The sequence below is a fragment of the Homo sapiens genome, chromosome 8 (genome assembly GCF_000001405.40).
Source record: "Homo sapiens chromosome 8, GRCh38.p14 Primary Assembly".
NCBI lineage: Eukaryota > Metazoa > Chordata > Mammalia > Primates > Hominidae > Homo > Homo sapiens.
This window is the reverse complement of record NC_000008.11, coordinates 123,072,380-123,098,343: the sequence shown is the minus strand read 5'-3', so window position 1 is coordinate 123,098,343 and position 25,964 is coordinate 123,072,380. Positions and strand designations below refer to the sequence as shown.

The 25,964-nt window shown below is 39.8% G+C and overlaps 1 protein-coding gene across 28 annotated transcripts in view, besides 2 other annotated features; it reads right to left on the bottom strand.

Annotated features, from left to right (window-relative positions):
- Window positions 1-25,637, bottom strand: part of TBC1D31 (TBC1 domain family member 31) — a 92,467-nt gene extending 66,830 nt beyond the window's left edge. For 16 of the 28 annotated variants that reach the window (XR_001745622.2, XM_011517379.3, NM_001363151.2 and 13 more), the window contains exons 1-6: window positions 25,498-25,637; window positions 21,087-21,233; window positions 15,527-15,642; window positions 14,004-14,182; window positions 4,602-4,753; window positions 903-1,062 (exon numbers count right to left, since the gene is read on the bottom strand). Coding sequence is in view for 26 of the 28 variants with exons in the window: in XM_011517379.3 (XP_011515681.1) it covers window positions 903-1,062; window positions 4,602-4,753; window positions 14,004-14,182; window positions 15,527-15,642; window positions 21,087-21,233; window positions 25,498-25,574 (831 nt within the window). In the remaining 2 variants the exon portion in view is untranslated. Of the gene's footprint in view, window positions 1-902; window positions 1,063-4,601; window positions 4,754-14,003; window positions 14,183-15,526; window positions 15,643-21,086; window positions 21,234-24,912; window positions 25,096-25,497 lie in introns of those variants that run through there. The other 12 variants (NM_001363149.1, XM_047422425.1, XM_047422424.1 and 9 more) reach the window with 3 other exon arrangements.
- Window positions 15,041-15,335: a silencer, noted in NCBI's record as "tiled region #15016; HepG2 Repressive non-DNase unmatched - State 15:Elon". NCBI's record gives its function as "represses a minimal TATA promoter and a strong SV40 promoter by Sharpr-MPRA in HepG2 cells {active_cell/tissue: HepG2}" and the evidence as "EXISTENCE:reporter gene assay evidence [ECO:0000049][PMID:27701403]".
- Window positions 25,585-25,734: a silencer, noted in NCBI's record as "silent region_19493". NCBI's record gives its function as "represses an Ori minimal core promoter by ATAC-STARR-seq in GM12878 lymphoblastoid cells {active_cell/tissue: GM12878}" and the evidence as "EXISTENCE:reporter gene assay evidence [ECO:0000049][PMID:35858748]".

The window sequence follows — 25,964 nt, the reverse complement described above, 5'->3', positions numbered from 1 at the left end:
GGAGACAGAGCTAGACTCCATCTCAAAACAACAACAAAAAAACTGGAAGAATAGAAGGTGCAAGGCTGTATAAAATAATGGGAAAAACATAACACTATATATAACAACAGTGGATATGGGGGGAGGTGAACAACTAGACAAATGGTAGAAAGGCGTGACAGACTTCCTACTGTATGCTGTTTTATGTTTTCAACCATGTTAATATATTACCTAATCAAAAAGTAAGTAAAATGGACATGATATATACATACATGCATATGTATACATATATATGTAAAACATATATCTAATCTGTTAAAATACAAGATCCACGACAGTCTATTTGAAACAAGAAAGTTAAGGTTTGACAGAACTCAAGTCTTAAAAAGGAATAAGCGAAGGGGGATGAAGGAAGAAGCACTCTGTAAACTAAGGAAAGATACCAATAAAAACATGTTTCACAGGAGTGAGCAACCAGTTAAGATAAATAAAATAACAACACAATAAAAACATTTTAGTTCTAGTCCAATCTTTAATCCTTACAATTAACAGGAATGTTGACGAGTCAATGTTTCTGGTCGTTAGTGTTATAATCTGTAAAATGGGGAGAATATCTTTCCTGCCTATGCCAAAGAATTAAGGATCAAATGAAAAATTGCATGCTAAAGCACACTGCAAACCATAAAGTACAATATAAATTTACAGTATGTTGATTTTATAAAAAGAGCAAATTGTCAATGGTATAAAGAATACAAGATTTTGAAATTTTTTTCAATCCTAGACTCTTCACAAAAATAACATATTTGTAATTTCAAATTATTGTAACAGCCAGGGTGTAAGTTAAATAAATAAGAGCTAATATAGTTCAGAGACGGATGCGTTCTTTCTCAAAAAGTACAGTGCCCTACATTTATGTTACTAACCTGATTAGAACCAGCATCAAAACTATCAGGAAGAAATTCCAGATGGCGAATGGCTCGAACTTTAGTGGGCATCTGGATAATTCTAAAGAGCTGCCTAGCTTCCAAGCACCACAAATGAAGATGATTTGACTTGCCTCCAGCAGCCAGGATTCGGCCATCTCTATATAAACAAAAAAGTGAGAAAGAAAAACGGGTTCAATTGTTTGTAGCAGCACTGTCCGACAGAACTTTCTATGATGACAGAAATGTACTGTGTCTATGCTATGCAATATGGTCACACTAGTCCCATGTGATTATTGAGCACTTGAAATGTGGCTAATGTTAATAAGGACCTTATTTTTAAATTTTATTTAATTTGTATTAATTCAAATACTTGCATGGACAGCTCAGGTTTATAGTATATATTTTTTTTACCTACTGTGCTAAGGCACCAGTTTACCAAACACTTGTTTAATGACCTGATTGTGGGTTTTTCACATAACACTTATATTTTATAGCATAATCTCAAAGTCACTTATCACTATCCAACTTTCTATATTTCACGTACAGCTATATAGAATTGGTGGTACATGGCTATATGAAAAAAACAAAACAGCCCAAACTTTTTTCCTGCTCAAAGAAAGCTACCTTAATAAGATACAAAAAGAGTAAGTTGTTTTGACTTGCAAGGCCGTTGCTCACTCATTCAACAAGAACTTGTAAAGGACTTACTAATTTTTAAAAAGTGTGGTAATACTATGGTTATGTTTCAAGTGTCTGCTATAAGCCAGGTATGGTCCCAGAAGCCATGGACACAGTCAGTTAAGGCTGCACAAGCCAAGTAATCCTGCTCTTACAGGACTTCTGGTCTAGAGGAAGGCAAACAAACAAATAAATGAACTTGATCTCAGCAGGTGATAAGTTCTATATAGAACTATAAAATAAGGTGATGAAAGCTGGGAAAGGAGGAAGATCTGCTACCTGAATGACACAAATAGGCCAGTCATGGGATGACTTGGAGGAAGAATTCTATCCTGATCAGTATTCCAGACTGGCTGGTACAAAAGTGCTGAAAAAGCAATAAGGTTAGTATATAAGGAAAAGTAAGTAAGAGGTCATACTCAAGTGCATTGCCATATGAAAGTACACTGCTATACTCGGATGTGGCTAGAGCAGACTAAGGAAGGAAATGAGATGAAGCGAGGGAGGCGTAGGCCAGGTGACAGAAGGCCTCAGGGGAAATGAGGGGTGGGGGGTTGAATTTTACTCTAAGTGATGAAGGAGGTTAAATAGGAAAGTGACATGATCTGACTTACTGATTTATAAAAACCACTTTATCTGCTGTGTAGAGAATGACTATAGGAAATGAGATTGAAAACAGGGAGAACAAATAAGAAGGCTATTATAGTAGTCTAAAAGAGGCTAGGGTAGCTTGGATTAGGGTAATAACCACAGCAATGAATAAAAACAAATTGACCAATTTGCTATATGGTTTGGTTGAGTTGATGGTATTTACTGATGACTTAGAAGAACAGCGTGAGAAAAGAGAGGAATTAACATCTATTTTGTAACTCTTTCCCCTGACTAGAAACAATGATTGGCCCAGTCAAAATGAGAACCCCTAGCATCCGGATTAGGGTCTTGAAATACCATTTCCCAAAAAAGAACCCAGACTCTTTAGAGAAATGGCTGATTCCAGGGTTAGGGCGGGAATTGTACAAGATAAGCTTGGAACATCTTGTCATACCAGAAAGCATGAAAGCTATCACAGGCAACTGGAGTTGTAGTAAAAGGATGCCAAAGTCAGCGAAAAGAGGATCCTATTAGTCAAAGATGAGAGAATTGGAACATCTCTAAGAATGACAGCTGCAATGTATTAAAACTTGTCAACTACTCTAAGCCTATGAGTTTACAAAGATTCAAGACAAAAATCTTCATTAGCCACTTTTGAAAGATGCTAATAAACCAATTCATTACTTCAAAAACTAGTTTAAGAAAAAAGAGGGGAAAATTAAGCATTTATCCTGCCTTTCCTTTACAACTGTACATCAAAATAACCAAAGGGTTGATGAGAGGAAGTTTCTTTCTATAGAAGGTTATTAACTAATAAGTGAAGAAGAAATGAGAGAATTAGAACAGCAGCATTTTGCTAACTTCTAAGGCAGTACTAGATCTAGGGAATGATCACTAATGGCTACTGACGTCACAAAAGAAAACTGTTCTATGTTGTTCCTTATGAAAGTACACAAACCACCTATAATGTCTTCTTGTCCTTAAATCAGATCAAGCCTCCAGTTTTTAGAAAATACAGGTATAACCAGTATACAGGAAAAATACAGGTAACAGAGGATCATATTAAACAATACCACATGAAGACAAGAGCAAAATCCAGAATATAGAAAACTCTAGAGGAGAAATGACCAGTTATTTAATGAATAAACTATAAGGAAAAAAAAAGACGAATATATCAACAAAATACAATCTGTGAGCCTTGTTTTGCTTCTTATTCAAACAAATCAATCATAAAAACCAGTTATTAGACCAATCAAGGATGTTTGAACAATAACTAGATATATGACAATATTAAGACATTCTTATTAATTTTTAAAAAGTGTGATAATAGGTCGGGTGCAGTGGCTCACGCCTGTAATCCCAGCACTTTGGGAGGCTGAGGCAGGCGGATCACCAGAGGTCAGGAGTTCGAGACCAGCCTGGCCAACATGGTGAAACCCCCGTCTCTACTAAAAATACAAAAATTAGCCAGGTGTGGTGGCAGGCACCTGTAATCCCAGCTACTTGGGAGGCTGAGGCAGAAGAATTGCTTGAAGCTGGGAGGTGGAGGTTGCAGTGAGCTGAGATAGTGCCATTGCACTCCAGCCTGGGGGACAAGAATGAGACTTCGTCTCAAAAATAAATAAATAAATAAATAAATAAATAAATAAATAAATAAATAAAGTGTGATAATACTATGGTTATATTTCCAAAAGCGCCCTTATCTTTCAGAGATAAACTGAAATATTTATGGATAAAATGATATGCTTAGGTTTTGCTTCAAACAATGCATTGGAGAAGTAGGTGAAGTTATTGATAAAAATAGAAATGGCCGGGCACGGTGGCTCATGCCTGTAATCCCAGCACTCTGGGAGGCCGAGGCGGGCGGATCACAAGGTCAGGAGTTCGAGACCAGCCTGACCAACATGGTGAAACCCTGTCTCTACTAAAAATACAAAAATTAGCCAGTATGGTGGCACGTGCCTATAATCCCAGCTACTCGGGAGGCTGAGGCAGAAGAATCGCGTGAACCCGGGAGACAGAGGTTGCAGTGAGCTGAGATCATGCCACTACACTCCAGTCTGGGTGACAGAGTGAGACTCCATTTAAAAAAAAAAGAAAAGAAAAGAAATGGCCATTCGTTGATGATTATTGTAGCTTATGGAAATATTTAGTGGTTCTGATGGAGGAAAGGCTGGTATAAATAAAACAACACACACACACAAACAAAAAAAAAGAAGAAATTCTTAGGGGTTCATGTATTTTTCTATTTTTGTGTATATTTGATATTTTGCAAAATAAAAAAAGTTAGCAGATCATATCTAAATTTGAAGGTAACTTTTTCTAATATGACAAAAAGATACTGAATAAAAACTAAATGAAAATTTGTAATTTTTTACCAGAAATTAAATTTCTTAAATATTCCTAGTGTCTTAAAATGCACATTACCTGGTTACAGCAAACACTTTGTATAATATACTAGAGCTTTCAGGTGGAGCTGGCAATTGATATTTGCAAAAAAGTGTGTCACATTCCCAGGCAAAAATGGAATTATCTTTAAAACAGCTGAGGATGGTATTACTTAATGGTAGAAAGAAAACCTAAGGAGGAATAGAGAAAGTTAGTTTTCACATAAGGTTCACATAGAGACTTTAAATTTAAAATTATACAAGTAGTCTATTTTTCTTTATTAAAATATTATTTTCTTAAGCTGGGGAAAATACATTTCTAATATATGACAAGGAGTAATACTGATTATTTCATAAATTATTATTAACTAAAAAAAAAACCCTTCAAACGAAAACTAGGTACACTATAATGACTAGGCAAGTCACAAAATTCTAAATGACAGTTTAAAAAATTTCACCTAATATTACTAAAGAGTTAAATGAAAACAAGATATAATTTTGAGTATCAATTTTACTTTTAAAATAAAGCACATTGGTCAGGTGTGGTGGCTCACACCTGTAATCCCAGCATTTTGGGAGGCCGAAGCAGGCGGATCACTTGAGGACATAAGTTCGAGACCAGCCTGGCCAACATGGTGAAACCCTATCTCTACGAAAAAATACAAAAATTAGGCCAGGCGCAGTGACTCACACCTGTAATCCCAGCACTTTGGGAGGCCAAGGCGGGTGGATCACCTGAGGTCAGGAGTTTGGGACTAGCCTGACCAACAAGGTGAAACCTCGTCTCTATTAAAAATAAAAAAATTACTCAGGCATGGTGGCAGGCATCTGTAGTCCCTGCTACTTGGGAGGCTGAGACAGGAGAATTGTTTGAACCTGGGAGGTGGAGGTTGCAGTGAGCCAAGACCCCGCCACCGCACTTTAGCCTGGGTGAGGGAGTGAGCCTTCGTCTCAAAAAAAAAAAAAAAAAAAAATTAGCCGGGTGTGTGCCTGTAGTCCCAGCTACTCAGGAGGCTGAGGCAGAAGAATCCCTTGAACCTGGGAAGTGGAGGTTGCAGTAAGTCAAGATTGCACCACTGCATTCCAGCCTGGGTGACAGAGCAAGACTCTGTCTTCAAAAAGAAAGCACATACATGCATAGACAAAATGGGGTGTTTGTCTATATATATTACTCCCACAAAATGGGGTGTATGTATTTATTACTCCCCGTGGCAGTGTATGACAGTGTCTTTTCCCTATACTTTCACCAACATTTGATATTTTTTAAACATCTATCAGTAGTTAGTATTTAATACAGTGTTTATATTAGTATATAGTTCTACATATACTATATATAGAGTAAAAAAAGGCACTGTCATACACTGCCGCTGGGAGTAAAAATTATTTAAAGATGTTATATGATATGTGTCAACAGCCTTAAAATATATATCTTCCCAAATTAGTCAGTTTGCTTTTAAAAGTTAGTCCTGGCTAGGCACGGTGGCTCACACCTGTAATCTCAGCACTTTGGGAGGCTGAGGTGGGTGGATCACCTGAGGTCAAGAGTTTGAGACCAGTCTGGCCAACATGGTGAAACCCCGTCTCTACTAAAAATACAAAAATTAGCCGGGTGTGGTGGCAGACGCCTGTAATCCCAGCTACTCAAGAGGCTGAGGCATGAGAATCACTTGAACCTGGAGGGTGGAGGTTGCAATGAGCTGAGATTGCGCCACTGCACTCCAGCCTGGGCAACAAGAGTGAAACTCCATCTCAAGAAAAAAAAGTTAGTCCTTTGGGAATACTGGGCAAAGTGTTTCAGGATAAGTAAGTGTTAAGCCATTTTTTTATATGAGTAAAAAGGTGCAAATGCATATATAATCCTATCTTATTACAGATTCAGTTCATTTAATGGACAACTGAGAATGAAACTGATAGTAAAGTTGAAAATGTCATCACTTTATTCTCCTAATTTTCATTTTTCTATCACATAAGCATAAACAATGCTTCCTTTTGTTAATGCAAAATTATTAACGGAAATTAACCAATATTTTCTCGTAAAAGTTTCAGTGGCCTTGAATATAATTTTGTGTGTCATCTGTACAACACACACACATATATAATGCACTAGAGAACAGACTGGTTAGCAAAAATAATCTACTCAGGATTAATGCCAATAAGACAATAAAAAATACGAACTCAACTACATCAGATACTGACAGATCAGGCAAGGGCCTGATCAAGCTCCTCCCTTCTTCCTTGGCTCACTTTGCTAAAGACAATCTGTGGTAGATCTTTTGCTATTAGATTCACTGTTAGGAAGATTTATAATATGAAGGCCTTACAGATTTCTATAATCTATAATGAACGCATTAGAACACTGTTTCAAAACTGATGTCAAAAAGTGACTTAAGAAAATTATTATTATAATTAGCAGTCATTTTTCTGGAAAAGTAATAAAGTTTATTCCTACTGGGAAAAGCAGAAGCTTAAAAGTTAATGAGCATCAACTGCTATTTTAGCAGAATAACTGTGATAGATTATTGCCTACATGATTATTCATTACTAGATTTGTGATTTTAATTGCCATATTTTAATGATTATAAAATTGTTCCTAATGAAGCATGTCATTATTATTTAGATAGTGTCATCTCTTGAGAAACATAAAAACCTTAGGAAAAACTTCAAAACATTAACAAAGTATACTTTTTGGGGGGTTAGGTTCAAGGACGGAGCTGTAGTTTTTCCTTGTAGAACACAAAAATCCTAAGCTTTCCAATTCAGTTTTAGGAGGTAGATGAACTCTTTTCAAGGTTTATTTTACCTTATTATTTATTTATTTATTATTGATTTATTTATTTATTTTGAGACAGAGTCTTCCCTCTGTCACCCAAGCTGGAGTGCAGTGGCGTGATCTTGGCTCACTACAACCTCCCAAGCAATCCTCGTGCCTCAGCCTCCCAAGCAGCTGGGACTACAGCATGTGCCAACATGCCCGGCTAATTTTTTGTATATTTTAGTAGAGATGGGGTTTCACTATGTTGGCCAGGCTGGTCTTGTTGGCCAGGCTGGTCTAGAACTCCTGACCTCAAGTGATCCGCCTGCCTTGGCCTCCCAAAGTGCTGGGATTACAGGTGTGAGCCACAGTGCCCAGCCCTTTTTCAAGGTTTAAAGAGTTTAGGATACTAATATTAGCAAGTTAAGGTCAAATGTATTATTTGTATATTTAGTATTTAGTGAGTGTCCTGGGTACACAGGCTGAATTGAGTTCAGCAAAACACTCTTTATTAGATGTTTTCTGATATCCATCACAAAGCCTTTTCTGATACCTGCTGAACCACAGTAATCACAAATCCCGGGGATTCCAAAATCCTTAACTAATGAGCTGAATATCTTACCCCCAAACATCAACAAAAGAATAAAAATGTACTAATTTGAAGAGGTGTAACTGGTTTACCTGAGAAGCAGTAAGACTTTAGATAAAGACAGGTTTGAATTCAAACTGCAATTCTCTCCTAAACTATGTGATACTGAACAAATTACTTAATATTTCTGGACAAAGTACTTAATATTTCTGAACTTCGGTTTCCCTTCTTGTAAAATGGGGATAATAATATCTACCCTTTAGGATTAAAGCTTTAAAATAACTATTTAAAATGAAGGTTCATGGAACATACTAAATAACGGGTATCTATTACTATTACTAATAATTACTGCTATTACTGCTTACAAAAATCAGCGGAAAGAGGTTAGACTGGTAGGTTCTTTAAAAACAGTCTGAAATCAAAGTTCCATAGTTCCTTTTCTGAAACCCTTGGGGCCAGATGTGTTTCAGAATGCAGATTTCCAATTTTAGATAGGTAGTATGATGTATATTCTATAACATTATGTAGAACTTTAGGAGACCTGGGGCAATGCCCCATACTCAAATATATTAATATTTCAGCCTCATGTCAATTCAGTTCAGATTTTGCTGCCAAATGAATTGAGGTCAGATCGCATTTTGCCACTGAGTTATTTAAATACTTTTGGGTTTCTGAATTGTTAATATAATGTAACTAAAAAATAAATAACAGTTACTCCACAGTTTTGTTTTTTTGAGACAGGAGCTCACTCTGTCGCCCAGGCTGCAGCACAGTGGTGTGATCTTGGTTCACTGCAACCTCTGCCTCCTGGGTTCAAGTGATTCTTATGCCTCAGCCTCTTGAGTAACTGGGACTACAGGCACACACCAGCATACCAGGCTATTTTTTGTAGGGACAAGGTTTAGCCATGTTGCCCAGGCTGGTCTCAAACTCCTGGGCTCAAGCAATCAGCCTGCGTGTTAAAGTGTTGGGATTACAGGCATGAGCCCATGTGCCTGCCACCCTACAGCTTAAGCAAATTATCTAACTGCACTGAGATAATCCTATCATAGGCTTGATGGTAAAATTGCAACAGATGCAATTTTACTAAGCACTTACTATACAACCAGCACTGTGCTAACTTTGCATAGATTATCACACTTAATGTTGAAACCAACCCTGAGGGAGGTGCTACGGCTGAGTATTCCTTATGCAAAATGCTTGGAACCAGAAATGTTTTGGATTTTTTGGACTTTGGAATATTTGCATTATACTCACCAATTGAGTATCCCTGATCCGAAAATCTGAAATCTTAAATGCTCCAATGAGCATTTCCTTTGAGCTTGATATTTGAGTATCATGTTAGCACTCAAAAAATTTCAAATTTTGGAGCATTTGGGATTTCAGATTTTCAAATTGGGAATCCTCAACCTGTATTGTTTACTATTTTTTCCCATACATAAGATAAATAACTTGTCAAAAATGTTTAACAGGAATCTACTCAAACCTTTAGACTTAATGTCTAGTTTACAGAAAATGCAGGTGAAAGACAGACAAATTAAACAATAATGATGAAACAGAAAAAACAACTCCAGAATGTGGGGCATTTTCTGAGATAACTGGTCTGTCTGATCTCTCCAGAAAATTAATGTCATGAGAAAAAAAGTAGAAGACTGTGTGAGATTAAAAGAGCCATCAAAAATGAAATCCATAACAAAAGACCCAAAGCAAGTTACTGAAGGGTCGCATGTGCAATCAAAACAAACAAATAAATAAAAGTTCTATTTAAAATATAGAATCAGAATCTGTAATAAAAATATGAGTTTAGTAAGAATTTGGTAAGAATTAACGTTTTTAGGGGCACATGTTCTCAGGCTCTCCTGAGGGCTGTGTCAGGGGAAAAAAATTTTTTAAAAACCGAACGTTTTACTTTAATATTAAGGTTACAGTTATTTCCTGTTTACAACTGAAGTGGTCATCACCTGGCCCATCTCTAGTCTTTGTACAGCCCAGGAGCTAAGAATGGTCACTTTTTTTTTTGAGATGGGTCTCACTGTGTTGCCCATCTTGGTCTTGAATTCTGGGGCTCAGGGGATTCTCCCACCTCAGCTTCCAGAGTAGCTGGGTACCTGGCTTTAAATGGTTACATTCTGAATGGTTATATAATTTTGCTCTTGAACTGCAAAGTCAAAAATATTTACTGGCCCTTTAAGAAAAATTTGCTGATAACTTAAACTATAGTGTATTTTATTGTATTGTATTTTTTTTTTTTTGAGACAAGAGTCTCGCTCTGTTGCCCACACTGGAGTGCAATGGTGCAATTTCGGCTCACTGCAACCTCTGTTTCCCGGGTTCAAGCGATTCTTCTGCCTCAGCCTCCCCAGTAGCTGGGATTACAGGCATGTGCCACCACACCCAGCTAATCTTTGTATTTTTAATAGAGATGAGGTTTCACCATGTTGGCCAGGCTGAGGCTGTTCTTGAACTTCTGACCTCAGGTGATCCCCCCGCCTGGGACTCCCAAAGTGCTGAGATTACAGGCGTAAGCCCCCGTACCCGGTCCTGTTTTATTATTTTAGAGCAATTTACTATATGCACACATCACACTATACATACATTTTCACATTTAGTTTTATTCTTATAGCACTAACATTAATATACTTAGGCACACATCACACTATACATACATTTTCCACAGTCCTAATTTTTAAACTAAAATGTCTAAATGTCCAAGCAAGGTTTGCGTTGGCAACTATTCAGCGTATACTCATTTTAATTTCATAGTAAAAAGAACAGATGGCTTTTGTGTCATGTGTCATTGTTTCATAACTCTGTTTCCATGTGGGTTCAACTCCCAATGTTCTCTTCTTTGGAACTTAAAATTCAAAATGTAAGTACTAAAGCAATTAAAGAAGAAAAGACCTTTGGCCTAAATTAAAGAAGAAAAGACATTTGGCTTAAATCCCTAATGAATAAGCTGGCACAACTTTTATCTCTTTTTAATTGTTAAAAGCACATTAAAGAACTCTGGGATTTCCATGGAGACTACAAAGTAAATTTTTGGTTGACATGCATTGCTAGCTGTTCATGTTAATAACCTAGAAATTAAAAGCAGTACTGCATGCATAATACAACCTGAAGCAAAATAATTAATCACACAAGAGACTCAGATACTCCTGAAAATAATATTTAGCTAATGAAATAGAAAGAAAAAAAACCTGAAAACCAAAAGACAGTGGGAGTTAAGGAGACGGCCTTCCTTGGACTAAAACAACCTAGCAATGCCACATTTGAAGTGGCTTTGAGGAATAGGGCCTGTGTGCTCATTTGAATAAAATCAGCCAAACAGAAAGCTTTGAAGAGGAAAGACCTATAATTCCATCTTCCTCTGACTTCTCCACTTCTAACATTTTGAACACCAAAGCCTGGCACAGAACAGGTGCCCAGGCTGGGCATGGTGGCTCACACCTGTAATCCCAGCACTTTGGGAGACCAGGCGAGTGGATCACTTGAGGCCAGGAGTTTGAGACCGGCCTGGCTAACATGGTGAAACCCCGTCTCTACTGAAAATACAAAAATTAGTTGGCTGTCATGGCGCACGACTGTAATCCCAGGTACTCAGGAGGCTGAGGCGAGAATCGCTTGAATCTGGGAGGCAGAGGTTGTAGCGAGCTGACATTGTGTCACTGCACTCCAGCCTGGATGCCAGAGCCAGATTCCGTTGCAAAGGAAAAAAAAAAAAAAGAACAGGGAGGAAGAAGGAAGGGGAGAGAGGGAGGGGGAATCGGTGATGTGGACAATGTAGCATGACACAAAGTGCCAGCTCCCTTAGGGTGGAAGTCACAGACAGGCCCCTAGAGCTGAAGAGATATGACAGGCTTGGATATGGGGACTTGGAGGAGGAAGAGTGACCGGGGCACTACCAAAAGGGTGGGACAGCCAAAAGCTCCTTGACTCCATCCCAGGATTTGGGAGGCCTGACTCTGCAGAAAGCCTCCAATCTGGCTTCACACCCTGCCGGCTCTGGCACTTGCAGCCGCCAGTGCTTCCAGTCTCCAGACCCCGTGTCTTTGTGTTTGGGGAGCAATAAACACTGCCTACTTCATTGAGGCAGTGTCAGGACTGAGTTGAGATAATGTATGGAAAGTTCTTAATACAATGCCTGAAGCATAGTAAATGCTTCAGTAACTATTATCACAATTGAAGAAAGGGTTAGATTTGACTAGGTGGAGAGAATGGGAAGGTTACTGGGTGTGGTAAGGAGGGAGGAGGGGTAGCAGCGTGGAAACCCTATGAAAGAGACCAGTTTGGATGTCATATAGGAAATCACAGGAGATGACAGCCAGGGGACATAAAGGACAAAATAACAATGGGAGCTACTATATAAGGGCCTGGCACTCGGCCAAGCCGTTGACATGAATTATTTATTTTATCTCATTTTCTCACCAGCCCTGGTAAGGTGGTTACCACAGACCCATTTTCCTGCTCAGGAAACGGAAGCCCAGAGAGGTTGGTTATGTGGCTTGTCTGTTAAAAGAAATGATAGAACCAAACTGGGGCATCTGTGGGGCTCAGAACAAGAGTACAACTGGAGGCCTATATACCATATGTTTCTACATAGTTGGAAAAAAACAAAAGAAATGGATTTTTAAAAGGTGGTATATTTACACAATGGAATTCTAAACAGCAATAAGAAAGAACAAACTACTAATAAATATAATATGGATGGATCTCAAAAACATTATGCTGAGTGGGGCCCGGCGCGGTGGCTCACGCCTGTAATCCCAGCACTTTAGGAGGCTAAGGCGGGTGGATCACAAGGTCAGGAGATGGAGACCATCCTGGCTAACAACAAAAAAAATTAGCCGGGCCTGGTGGCAGGCACCTGTAGTCCCAGCTACTTGGGAGGCTGAGGCAGGAGAATGGTGTGAACCTGGGAGGCGGAGCTTGCAGTGAGCCAAGATCACACCACTGCACTCCAGCCTGGGCAACAAAGCAAGACTCCATCTCAAACAAACAAACAAACAAAATTATGCTGAGTGAAAAAAGCCTTACATAAACTATTATTGTATAGTTCTATTTATATGAAATTTTAGAATAGGCAACACTAGTCCATGGTGGGAAAACGTAAGAGTGGTGGTCACCCAGGGAGGGAGATGATGGAATTTTCTGGGATAATGTAATGCTACAGCTGCATAGGTTACACAGGTGTGTGTATTTGTCAAATTTAACAAATGAATACTTAAGACTTACATATTTCATTATATATAAATTTTAAATCAACAAATATTGACCCCTAGTTAATTAAGTACAGGCTTAAGTATTCACAGGGGAGTATGCTGATGACCAAAGTTTACTTTAAAACACACACACAGCTGGGCATGGTGGCTTATGCCTGTAATCCCAGCACTTTGGGAGGCCGAGGCAAGAGGATTGCTTGAGCCCAGGAGTTTGAGACAAGCCTGGCCAACATGATGAAACCCTGTCTCTACTAAAAATACAAAAATTAGCTGGGCATGGTGGTACATGCCTGTAGTCCCAGCTACATGGGAGGCTAAGGCAGGAGAATCGCTTGAACCTGTAAGGCAGAGGTTACAGTAAGTTGAGATCATGCCACTGCACCCCAGCCTAGGTGACAGAGCGAGATTCTGTCTCAAAACAAAACAAAACAAAAACCAAAAAAAAAAAGAAAGATGGATAGACCCATAAGAGAGTATGGTACCATGTAAAGTAGAGTAAAGGATAGTACAGTAACATGTTAATGGTAGAATCTAGATACTGAATGTACACGTGTTCAAAAATTCTCACAAATCTACTGCATGTTTCAAATTTTTCATAATAAAATGTCAGAGGGTTAAAAATGAAAACAAAAGCAATCAACTAAATAACTTTCGCCTTAGGACAGTTGAAGTTACATAGCTATAATTTTAGAAAAGAGCTCACTAAGTTATAAATTGTAGCTATAGGCAACATCTTTGTGTTGGCCACTTTGCTTTGCTTGTTGCTGAGTTACAGAGCTACAAGGACAAAGTGAATCATTACTCTTATATCATCTATACATCCTGTTGACCAAGAAATTAGCCCGAGAAGCACAACAGACCAAGATGTACCCCCTCACTGACCTTCTGTATACCCACAGACTGGCGAATATTCAGCTTTCTTTTTCTCTGAAAGGTATCCAAGTCCCATAATTGTGCTGTATCAGAAGAAGTTGTGATGGCATATTTCCCTGATGCATGCACAGAGATCGAAAATACTGATGATTCATGTCCTCTCATCCAGCTAACTAGCTCCTTGGTGACTGTGGTAAAAAGTAAAATTGTTACCCAGGTAAAACACTGTACGTCTAGAAGTAACATTACATATAAACACCATAGATGAACTGATGCAATGGGTGGTTAGGTATTATATGAGGCACCTCCATTAATATCCACAAAAATGGAAGCTTGTGGCTAGTTGATAAAGTGTATGACGGAACATGTTAGCAACATCTCATTCATGTAGGAGACAAGGCTGACAAAGGCTTTGATGAAGAATAACTTCAAAATTGATGCTAGTGAGTTTGGGCTTTCTCTTGCAGGTAATTTTATGTAAAAGAGTACCATATCTAGTCTATGTTTTAGAAAGAGCACTTTGAGGATATCTGGTGGAGGGGAAGAGATTGAACAAGAAAGACTAATTTATATGTTGCTGTAATAATTCAGACAGGAGATATGGAGGGCCTCAACTAAGAAAGAGGCAATGGAGAAAAGAACAAATCCAAGAGCTACTAAGGAGAAAAACAAAAAATATTAGTGATCAAATTGATGTCCTGAGATATAAGAGAAGTGAAGGCTCCAGTGGTTCCAGCTTAGTTATTTAAGCAGATGGTGATACTGTTAGCGGAGGTAGGAAATACATGAGGAGGGGCCGGGCGGTGGCTCACGCCTGTAATCTCAGCACTTTGGGAGGCTGAGGCAGGTGAATCACTTCAGCCTAGAAGTTCGAGACCAACCTGGGCAACATGACAAAACCCTATCTCTAAAAAAATAAAAAATAAAAAAAAATAATAAATACATGAGGAGGAACAGGTTTATCAGTGTGAGATACTGATAATACATTTGGTTTTTAAACTTGATTCTGATGTACTTGTGTGTATCTTTGTAAGCAGAGAAAACAGCTTGGTAGGGAAAACACCAAAAACACCAAAGCTTGGGTCGACTCCCTGCGTCAACAGTGCTTGGCGCAGATGGCCAGCCACACACCAATGCTGGGAGTGTCATCTGAGAGGGCAATGCATCCCTGAGGACAATGGAGGCTTCCCTTTTGGAAGCCTCCCAAATTCCACCCCATGTTTCTCTTCCTTTGGCTAGTTATACTTTGTATCCTTTTGTTATATTAAAACTGTCATTAAGTGTAGTGCTTTCCTGAGTTCTGTGAGTTGTTCTAGTAAATTATCAAACCTGACAGTAGTCAGGAAACCCTGACTTTGTAGTCAACTGATCTAAAGTGAGGCTGTTTCTAGGACCCTCAGCTTGCACCTAGTGTCTGAAGGGAGGGCTGTCATGGGGACTGCCCCCTCAAGCTGTACAGAGTGATAAAGTTCTTGCAGTTCTTCAGTTTATATTTTACTCTGCTTCAAAAGAAAAATAGGAGAACTTCTTACCTGTATCAAAACATTTAATAGAATAATCAGCTAATGCCACAAGGAATTCAGATTTCCTACGAAGATTAAAGGCCAGAGCTGTGCAAGCTTGTGCTGTTCGCTGAACAAGATTGAACCTATTAAGAGATCATTGCATTAGTATCACAAATTCTTCCAATAATTACAAATTCCATGTGGAAGGAGTCCGTAGAGACGAAGAAAATGAAACCCAGAAAAATGAGCTACCATTTTAGGCCAAAAATAGATTATGAAGGGTGCTATGTGCCATATTAAGGAGTTTGGATGTTATCAGAATAGGAAACCACTGTAAGTGTTAGCACAGCAGAATCACAATCAGGTATGTGTTTTAGGAAGACGATCCTGGCAGCAATGGCAAATGGATAGAGGGACAAGGAATAAAGGAGATCACTAAGAAAGTTACTACAGAAAATCTCAGCCAGAGATATGGGAGCATAAATAGGAGAGGTTTCAGAAGCCAAGCAGAGGTTCGGTATGGATTCAACATGGAGTGAAGAAGAGGGAATCAGGACCCGATCTTGCGTAAAATGAAGATAAGAATAGATACAGGGCTGTTGTGATGACTAAATGAAAGAATACATGTTGAGTGCTCAGTAGAGTACTGGGCACCTAGCTGGAGTTTAATTTACAAAAAATTAAGCTTTTGAACTTAGGCAAAAGAGGAATAAGTTTGGGGGTAGGAAATAATAAACCTGCTTTTAAACATGTTGTTTAAGGCCCTTGTGAAACTCATCTAGAGTCATGCTGTCTGAAAGAAATACAACGTGGGCTACATACGTAATTTAAATTTTTCTAGGAGCCATATTAGAAAAGTAAGAAGAAACAGGTAAAATTAATCTTGATAATATATGATACGCTTTGGCTCTGTCCCCACCCAAATCTCATCTTGAATTGTGGCTCCCATAATTCCCACATGTTGTGGGAGGGGCCCAGTGGGAGATAATTGAATCACGGGGGCAGTTTCCCCCACACTGTTCTCATGGTAGTGAATAAATCTCATGAGATCTGATGGTTTTATACGGGGAAACCCCTTTCCCTTGGTCTTCATTTCTCTCTTGCCACCACTACGTAAGAAGTACCTTTGCGTTCTGCCATGATTGTGAGGCCTCCCCAGCTACATGGAACAGAGAGTCCATTAAACCTCTTTTTCTTTATAAATTACCCAGTCTCGGGTATGTCTTTATTAGCATGAGAACAGACTAATATACTTTATGAACTCAATATGTGTCTAAAACATTAGTATTTCAATATTTAATCAATTAAAAATTATTGAGATATTTTACACTTTTTATCATATTAAGTCATCAAAATCCACTGTGTATTTTAATTTTACATGTGCTTCATATCTCAATTTGGACCAATCACTTTTCAAGGGCTCAAGACTTACATGCAAGCTAGTGGCTCCTGGGAGCCCAATCTAGAAGATTTCTAGTAGGTAGTAGTAGCAGAAGTAGGTCTAAGTCAACAGTGTTTACATGGCAGATGAAGCCTGAGGCTTGGTGGTGATGTGATTATCGAAAAGAGTACCTGAAATATGGAAGGAAGTAAGCCAAAGAAAGATGTCTGGGGAGCACAACATGAAAGGGGAAGGCACTGGAAGAAGAGTCAGTAAAATAAGGGGGAAAAATGATCAGAGAGGTAGAAAATTCAGCAAAAGCTGTACCATGAAGCCAAAGAAAATAATTTCAGGCAGGATGGGAAGACAAGAGTATTTACTGTTTCAGTAAAATGAGAACTGAAAAGTGACCAATGGATTGAACAATTAGGAAGATTTTTAGGGAGCCCAGTATACTGGGCTTTATGATCAAGTCTGATTTTTAAGTCCCAGCTCTGCTGCTAACTGCTCAGCCACAAATGTTTTTAGTGAAGGGTGGCAGAATATGCCATCCCGAACATCCCACTTTGGCATAAGGATTACTTTGAGCTAAAGGTAAATGAGAAAAAGCAGATATAAGAAAAGCTCTCAGCCAGGTGCGGTGGCTCACGCCTCTAATCCCAACACTTTGGGAGGCCTAGGCGGGCGGATCACGAGGTCAGGAGATCGAGACCATCCTGGCCAACATGGTGAAACCCTGTCTCTACTAAAATACAAAAAATTAGCTGGGCGTGGTGGCACATACCTGTAGTCCCAGCTACTTGGGAGGCTGAGGCAGAAGAATTGCTTAAACCAGGAGGCAGAGGTTGCACAGTGAGCCGATCACACCACTGTACCCCGGCCTGGGCAACAGGGTGAGACTCCGTCTCAAAAAAAAAAAAAAAAAAAAAAAAAAGAATAAAAGAAAAGAAAAGAAAAGCTCTCTGCTCTTGTCTAAAAGTTTACATAAATTTGCATACATTTACAAAGGGGTCCCTCTTCCCTTCTCTACCAGGAAGGACAACGGTTGATCACAGGAGTTGACTTTAGATCTTTATCACCCTGAAAATAGCACCAGAGAAATGTATATAACTACCATTAGTTTCCCATATATTTGCCTTCCCACAATTTGCTGCCCCTAGAGACTCAAGGTCCTCTTCTTTTGTCTTGTCACTTCTCTAAAAATGTATTGTTCTTTGATGAAGATGCTATATAAGCCAGAGCATAAGCCACTTTTTGAGTTAGCAATACCTGGATACTGTCACGTGTTACATGCATGACACAAGTTGATAACATCTCATACTAATACCTGGATACTCTGGGTATTCTAATGTGTTACACGCATGATAGATATTAATAACTTATTCATTCTTCTCTTGTTAATCTATCTTTTGTTACAAGGGTCCAGTTGAGAATCTAGAAGGGTAGAGGAAAAATTATTTTTTCTCCCCAACAACCAACAGTGAAAAGGGAATGGACAAAATAGTAACACTTATGGTGCAATATCTCAGGAGAGGCTATCGAAGATAGGGATTAGCACTAGAAGAAATTAAGATCACCTGTTTTTATGAATAAGGTAATGAGGGCTGAACTTTATGAATAAGGTAATGGGGGCTGAACTTACAATATACTTGAGGCTGCAATGGGGAAGGAGAAAGGAAAGCTTGAAGGTATCTATTTTCCCATGAATCAGGAGGCCTGGCAGTCAGAATAACAGTAGAGTCCAATGCAAGGAGACAAGGAAATTGGTAAAGGTTTGCAACACTTGGTGGAGAATAGGAAACGTTAAGTAACCGTAGACAAGCAAATGAAGTGCAAAGAGTCCTCGATGTTGAAGTTCATTAGTCATGAAATCAATCAACAATTATTTTTATTTTTTTCAGAAGTATTAGCAAATAGACAGTGGTACTGATTTAAGATTAGGAATTGGTGAGGTAAGTTAAGCAAGAATAAAGGGTAGAAAAGTTGGGCCCATTACTTTTTTGGTAAAGGGCAGAAACAATGATTTACAGATTTTTACCTAATGAATCACAGAGAAGTAAATTATATGTCACATCTTTTCTTTAACTATTTAAGTTACCAAGATCAAGTTTCCCATAATAAGAAAACTCTCCTACATAATCACAATATAACCATCAGCACCAATAAATTACATTTATACATTACCACCATCTAATCCTAAAACTCCAATCAAATTTTGCCAATTTTCCTAATAAGTTCTTTATAGCAAAAGGATCAGTCCAGATTCATGCCTTTGTCATGTCCCTTTCATCCCCCTCAGATTAGGAGTTCTTTAGTCTTTACCCAACTTGCATGATCTTGTCCCTTGTAGAGATATCAGCACAGTTTTGTTATTAGATGTCCTTAATTTAGCTTTGTGTGATGATCCCACTGATTAGATTCAGGTTATATATCTTGGGAGGAATATCACAGAAATGATGCCGTGTTCTTTTCACTGCATCCTATCAGGTGGCACACAAATTTTGATTCATTCCACTACTAGTTATATTAACTTTAGTCATTTGATTAAGGCAGTGTTTGCTAGGCTTCTTCATTGTATAATTTTTTTTCTTCTATAATTAATAAGTATTTTGTGGGGGGGTACTTTGTGACTATTCAATATCCATGCCTTACTAAACTGTTTGTATACTGGTTACAACATGAACTCATAGATTTCAATTTTATTCAATGCATGACCCATCTCCAATATGACCAGAGGGAGCTCCTTCAAGCTGGCAACTGTGTCTTTTTGACACATCCCGAACATTCTTTGAACAATTCCTTCTTTCTGGCTACAAAATGTTACAGGCTCATCCTGTACTTTCCCTGTCTGCATTCTGAAATTGGCCATTTTTGCAAATATCCTTGATTCTTTTTAGTAGAAAGTGGTATTTTGAAAACAAGAACTCAACACCGGGTATATTCATTGCTGCTGGCATGCTGTTGCTCCCAGGCCCTCTGGGTGTACGAAGCTAGGGAATGTGTACATATATGTGTACATACCTCTATTTAGTGCTATATCTATCTCTATATATTCAAAACCAGGGGTTCAAACTGATATATCTAATTCCAATACAATACCATGGGGTTTATTCTAGTTTTCTGCCCTCCATATATGTAAGTCTCTTTTCTAAGAGTGAGAAACTTGGCCCTCATTATCCCTAATATATTTAGTTGATCAAAGCCCCCTGTATTAAACTAGCTTCCCATCACTGCCCCATTCGCTATGCAGACACCCTCTGCCTCTCTGCTAGGCTGCTGCAGCTGTCCTTCCCTCTTAGCCCCGCTGCATGAATACCTATCTCCATCAATCCCACCTAATTGCTTTCGGACTAAATTGTTTCACAAGGGAAGAGAAGAGGAAGAAGAGTGAAAACCAACTTTTTTTTTTTGAGATGGAGTCTTGCTTTGTCGCCCAGGCTAGAGTGCAGTGGCAGTGGCACGATCTCGGCTCACTGAAACCTCCACCTCCTGGGTTCAAGTGATTCTCTTGTCTCAGCCTCCCAAATAGCCAGGATTACAGGCGTGCACCTCCACACCCAGCTAATTTTTGTATTTTAGTAGAGACAGTGTTTCACCACGTTGGCCAAGCTGGTCTCGAACTCCTGACCTCAAGCGATCCGCCCGCCTTGGCCTCCCAAATTTCTGGATCACAGGCCTGAGTCACCACACCCAGCTGAAAATCAATTCTTTAAAATTCTTAGATCTGGCACCCCACAACAACAATGTGCAAAGAAAACTGTGTTATTTCTACATTGCCTCATGATGTACCAGAAATTGACAAACTAGCAACTATGGGCTGGGTGCGGTAGCTGGAACCTGGGAGGCGGAGTTTGCAGTAAGCTGAGATCATCCCACTGCACTCCAGCCTGGGCGACAGAACAAGGCTCCGTCTGAAGAAAAAAAAAAAAATTAGCAATAATAAATTTTTAAATTTAAGAAAAAAAAAAGGAAACTACTAGAGATACTATTAAAACCAGCACTTTAATTCTTTAAAATGTGAACCATGTTATCATTCTGTTTTTTCCCACTTTCGTCCTTTAGCACTTATGACAGTATTTTGCAAGGTACCTGAAATATAATAGAACTTAATAAATCTTTCTGAATGAATAATGAATAGCAGGTACGAAAACAGTCAGTGAATTAATAACTTGTTAAAGAACGTAGATATCAATGGTATCTGCTTACCTGTTTCCATGTAAGTCAAAAACATAAATATTTCCTTGGTGGTCCCCAGCAATTAAGCAGTCGCCTGTGCCATCAAAAGCCACATTCAAAAATCGCAAAACTTTTGGATGGTAATCGGAAGTGTTGTGAATAATGTTCACTATAATTCTGTCAAAGAAAAAAACCCAAACATTGAATCTATGTCACGTATTACTTGATATTATGAAAAATATGGCAAGTAAAGCATTTCGTCTGTTCATTCTTCCCTCTCCTACTGCTACCGCTATACCCCCGCTCCTCTAGAATCAATCTTACCAGGATTTCAGAAAAACAGGTCAGAAGCTACTCATTATCAAAATAGCTACTGTTTATTCATTCATCAAATACTTGAAAACTCACTGTGTCAGACACAGAACAAGCCAGGTGCTAAGAATAATTGATATGGTCCCTGCTTTCATGGCACTTACAATTTAGTAGTAAGGACAGATATTAAAAAAATAAACACACATATAAACAGATTTATAAACTGTGATTAAGTGATAACAACAGGGTATGAGATTTTGTTTTTGTGTATGGAATGTTTCACAGTGAATTACGCGTGCATGAGTTTTACTTCCATTTCTAATGTATCTACCATGAATACCCTGGCAGGCGAGTTCTGTAAGGACAGGACCACTGCTTGCTCATTACTGTACCCCAGCACCTGGCCTACAACACACAAAAGACACTCAAAATATGCCTGCTGAATGAACAAATGCTTTAAGAAATCATTCTTTAAAACCCACATTAATCATACTGCCATATAAAACAGTAAGGGAGCTTATTTTTCAATCTTATTCTGGAGACACATATGTAATGATTAAACTTAAATGAAAACGAAAATATTCTAACCTGAAGTTTTAAACACTGATACACACACACACACACACACACACACACATACACACAATTAAAAGAAAAAATAAAGAAGAAAAATCAAAACCAAACACGTCTCCAGAAAAATTTCAAAAAATTAGCCAGGCATGGTGCATGTGCCTGTGATCCCAGTTACTCAGGAGTCTGAGGTGGCATTATCACTAGAGCCTGGGGAGGTCAAGGCTTCAGTGAGCCATGATCATGCCACCGCACTCCTGCCTGGGTGACACTGTAAGACCCTGTCTCCAAAGGAAAAGAAAAATACGTATAGGGAAAAAAAGATGAATACAGCTAAATATTAACAGCAGCTGTCTGCAGGTAATAGCAATATGGTTAATTTTTTTCCCCTTTCTACTTTTCTATCTTTTAGACATGTTATTTAATGATTACATACTATTTTCATAACAGGAAAGACAAGAATACATGTGTTTAAAGTTACCCTTTTTGAGAGAAGGATTATATACCCTGTATCTGTTGAAAGAAAATTTATAAAATTAACTTACAGCACAAAATAACTCCTTAAAATAATATATGTGCGTATATTCTCGTCACAAAGATCAGAATAATCCCATTCTTTATTGCAACAATAGTTTTTAATCATGAAAATTTTATCTTAATTGATTTTTCATAAATTTTTGGATTTTGTTTTATTTTTTTTTTTGAGATGGAGTCTCGCTCTGTCACCCAGGCTAGAGTGCAGTGGTGCAATCTCGGCTCACTGCAATCTCCACCTCCTGGGTTCAAGTGATTCTCCTGCCTCAGCCTCCTGAGTAGCTGGGATTACAGGTGCACGCTACCATGCCCAGCTAATTTTTTGTATTTTTAGTAGAGACAAGGTTTCACCATGTTGGCCAGGCTGGTCTCAAACTTTTGACCTCGTGATCCTCCCACCTTGGCCTCCCAAAGTGCTGGAATTACAGGCGTGAGCCACTGCACCTTGCCTAGTTTTTGGATTTTATATTAGAAACATCTATCTTCATTATAATTTCATTAAAGTATACTAAATTGAATTAAGTGGATTAAACATTTTCTCCATGTGTATCTAAACATAAGGCTTTTTAGACTCACTAAAGGAAATAGCAAAATTCTTAACAATGCTTATTTTTATCTAGTCCCCAAGGAATTAAAAACACAAAAATAAACATACAGAAATGACAAGCAATATCAAAATGTTTCATGGCAACTAAACTCAGAGCAAACAACTTTTTCCTCCAGTCTTATTTTCTAGAACACTTATTACATGTTCTGGCTACAAAATTACACAATCATTGTTCAAAATATGAAAAATATAGAAATACACTAAGAAACAAATACTCAATTATAATCCTACCATGTAGATGTAATCACAATAGTGACATTCTGCCCCTCCGATTTTTCATATAAATCACACGTAAAAAATTTATTTTAGAGCAACTTCCTTTCAGATTCTCACAGATTGCCTGACAGAGTTCCTCAGTTCTCAAACACAAGAAGAATATCAAATATTTACTGAGCACCAAATGTGTAAGACAACCTGTCTGGTAAATCTGATTCTCCCCACTGACAGCCTTAGTGATTAACTTCCCCAAGGTCACAGAGTTGGTAAACGGACATTTACTTCAACAAAATACATCTGACTCCAAGTCAGTGCTCTCTGCCCGTCTAAACAGCATGAACAATGGGTTTTAACGAACACAAAGATAAGCTATGCTTTAGTGGAAGAAGCAAACAAGACATTTGGATAATCAACCCATTTCTTTCACTTTTTGAATCTTGCACATATATCTAGATATTTTGTATCATCAAGAAAGAGAAGGCGAGTGGGCTATAACTTTTAGAATGTTTAGAGAATACCAGAGGTGGGAGTGGTATTCACACAAACTCAGAATTTGAAAATGAAAAACTTGAGGAATCCCCACTTTAGAGAAAATTTTTTATTCAATGTAGTTGAGGCAGCGGCATTGATAAAGAGGCCTGACAGTAACCAGGAACCAAACAAGCTGCTGGTAAAACGTCTCGCATCGCACTTTGGATATACAGAGTAGGCACTTAAAACTGATTTGTCGGCCAGGCGCGGTGGCTTACGCCTGTAATCCCAGTACTTCGGGAGGCCAAGGTGGGTGGATCACGACATCAGGAGATCAAGACCATCCTGGCTAACACGGTCCGTCTCTACTAAAAATACAAAAAATTAGCCGGGAGTGGTGCGCCTGTAATCCCAGCTACTCAGGAGGCTGCGGCAGGAGAATCGCTTGAACCCGGGAGGCGGAGGTTGCAGTGAGCCGAGATCGCGCCACTGCATCCGACCCTGGGCAACAGAGCAAGACTCTGTCTCAAGAGAAAAAAAAAATTCTGATTTGTCAAGAAGCAACCAAAGGATCAATAGAAAAATCACTAGAGGCCGGGCGCGGTGGCTCAGGCCTGTAATCCCTGCACGTTGGGAGACTGAGACAGGCGGATCACCTGAGGCCAGGAGTTCAAGACCAGCCTGGCCAACATGGTGAAACCCCGTCTCTACTAAAAATACAAAAATTAGCCGGGCGTAGTGGCGCGCGCCAGTAATCCCAGCTACTTAGGAGGCTGAGGCAAGAGAATCGCTTTAACTCGGGAGGTGGAGGATGCAGTGAGCCGAGGTCGCGCCACTGCACCCCAGCCCAGGCGACAGAGCAAGACTCCGTCTCAAAGAAAAGAAAAATCACTGCTAGAACAAGAAACACACTGAAACAGGAACTCAAGCAATTTCCGTGAAATCCTAGGGAATTAGGAGCAATAAGATCACTCTGCGTGCAGAAATCGAAATCCAAATGGCACCGCTTTGTAGCAAAGGCTTCCAGGGAAACAAGACAGGCTGAGCCTCAAACAGGACAGGTAACTGGGAACAGAATGAAAAGCAGCGCTGGCCGTACTAGAAGCCCCCCAGCAATGCATAATGAACGCCCCAGCCCCTACATACACGCCGATATGTAAACTCCAGAGAACCGGAAGTGTGTTTTGTTCCATCGCCGTCCCCAGCGCTTAGAGGCGTGCTTGGCACACAGTAGGAGCTCAACAAATAGTTGATGAATGCTTGTGCGTCTAAACACATCCAAGGATTTAAGGATGGATAAACTGCAGCCTTTGGAAGAGGCAGAATTGTCCTGCTCTTCCACCCCGCATCTCCTCCTGGAGTTCTGCTCCAGCTGCAACTGTTAAATACTCACTGAGCACCTACTACGTGCCAGGGACACTAGCGGGATACCGTGATCATAAAAGCAGGAGAGTCCCGGTACACAGCAAAAGCCGCAAGTTCCCAGGTCTGAGAACCACCGGCCTCCTCCTGCTCCGCGCTGTCCCGGACCAGACCCCCGCTCCCAGAACTCAGAAGGGGATCTCTGCGGACCCTGGCGTCCGGAGCCATCTGTTCCACCGCAGGTCATCCAACCCAGGGATGCGGGGCAAGGTCAGAGCCAGAACCCGGAACGCTGCCTGACGCCCGGCGTCCCCTCCTCGCCGGTCTCCATCCCCTCCACAGCCCGCGCCCTCCCGCCACGGCCTTTACCCGTCCCGCGTGGCCGGGGACGGCTTGCGGTGCCATATCTTGCCGCTCTCCTTGTTGCCTAGGTCAGTGCTCTGCATGGCGAAGCTTGCCCACGACCGCCGGCGGCCCGCTGGGTAACCGTCCCAGCGCCTTCCCGGCAGGCCCAGCGCTCCCGGCCCGGGAAATTTGAGCTCCGGCCGCGGCGGCCTAGGTCCAGCACCAGCAGGCCGTACCAACCCCCTTTCTAATAACAACCAATTGGAAGGCTGATCCCTCCCAAAATCCGCCCAAGCGGCCACTCCCTCTCTGGACAATGTAATCGACCAAAGACCTTCTCTTAGAGTCCACCTCTTTCTGAGCTCAGTCTTCCCGCCCCCGGACCCAAAGCCTTCTGGGAATCGTAGTTTTTTGCAGGTGGATCATAGACGCGAGGAATTGGCTTGGGAATTCCGCCCTTTGGGAGCCTCGTGGGGTTTTAGGCTCCCATC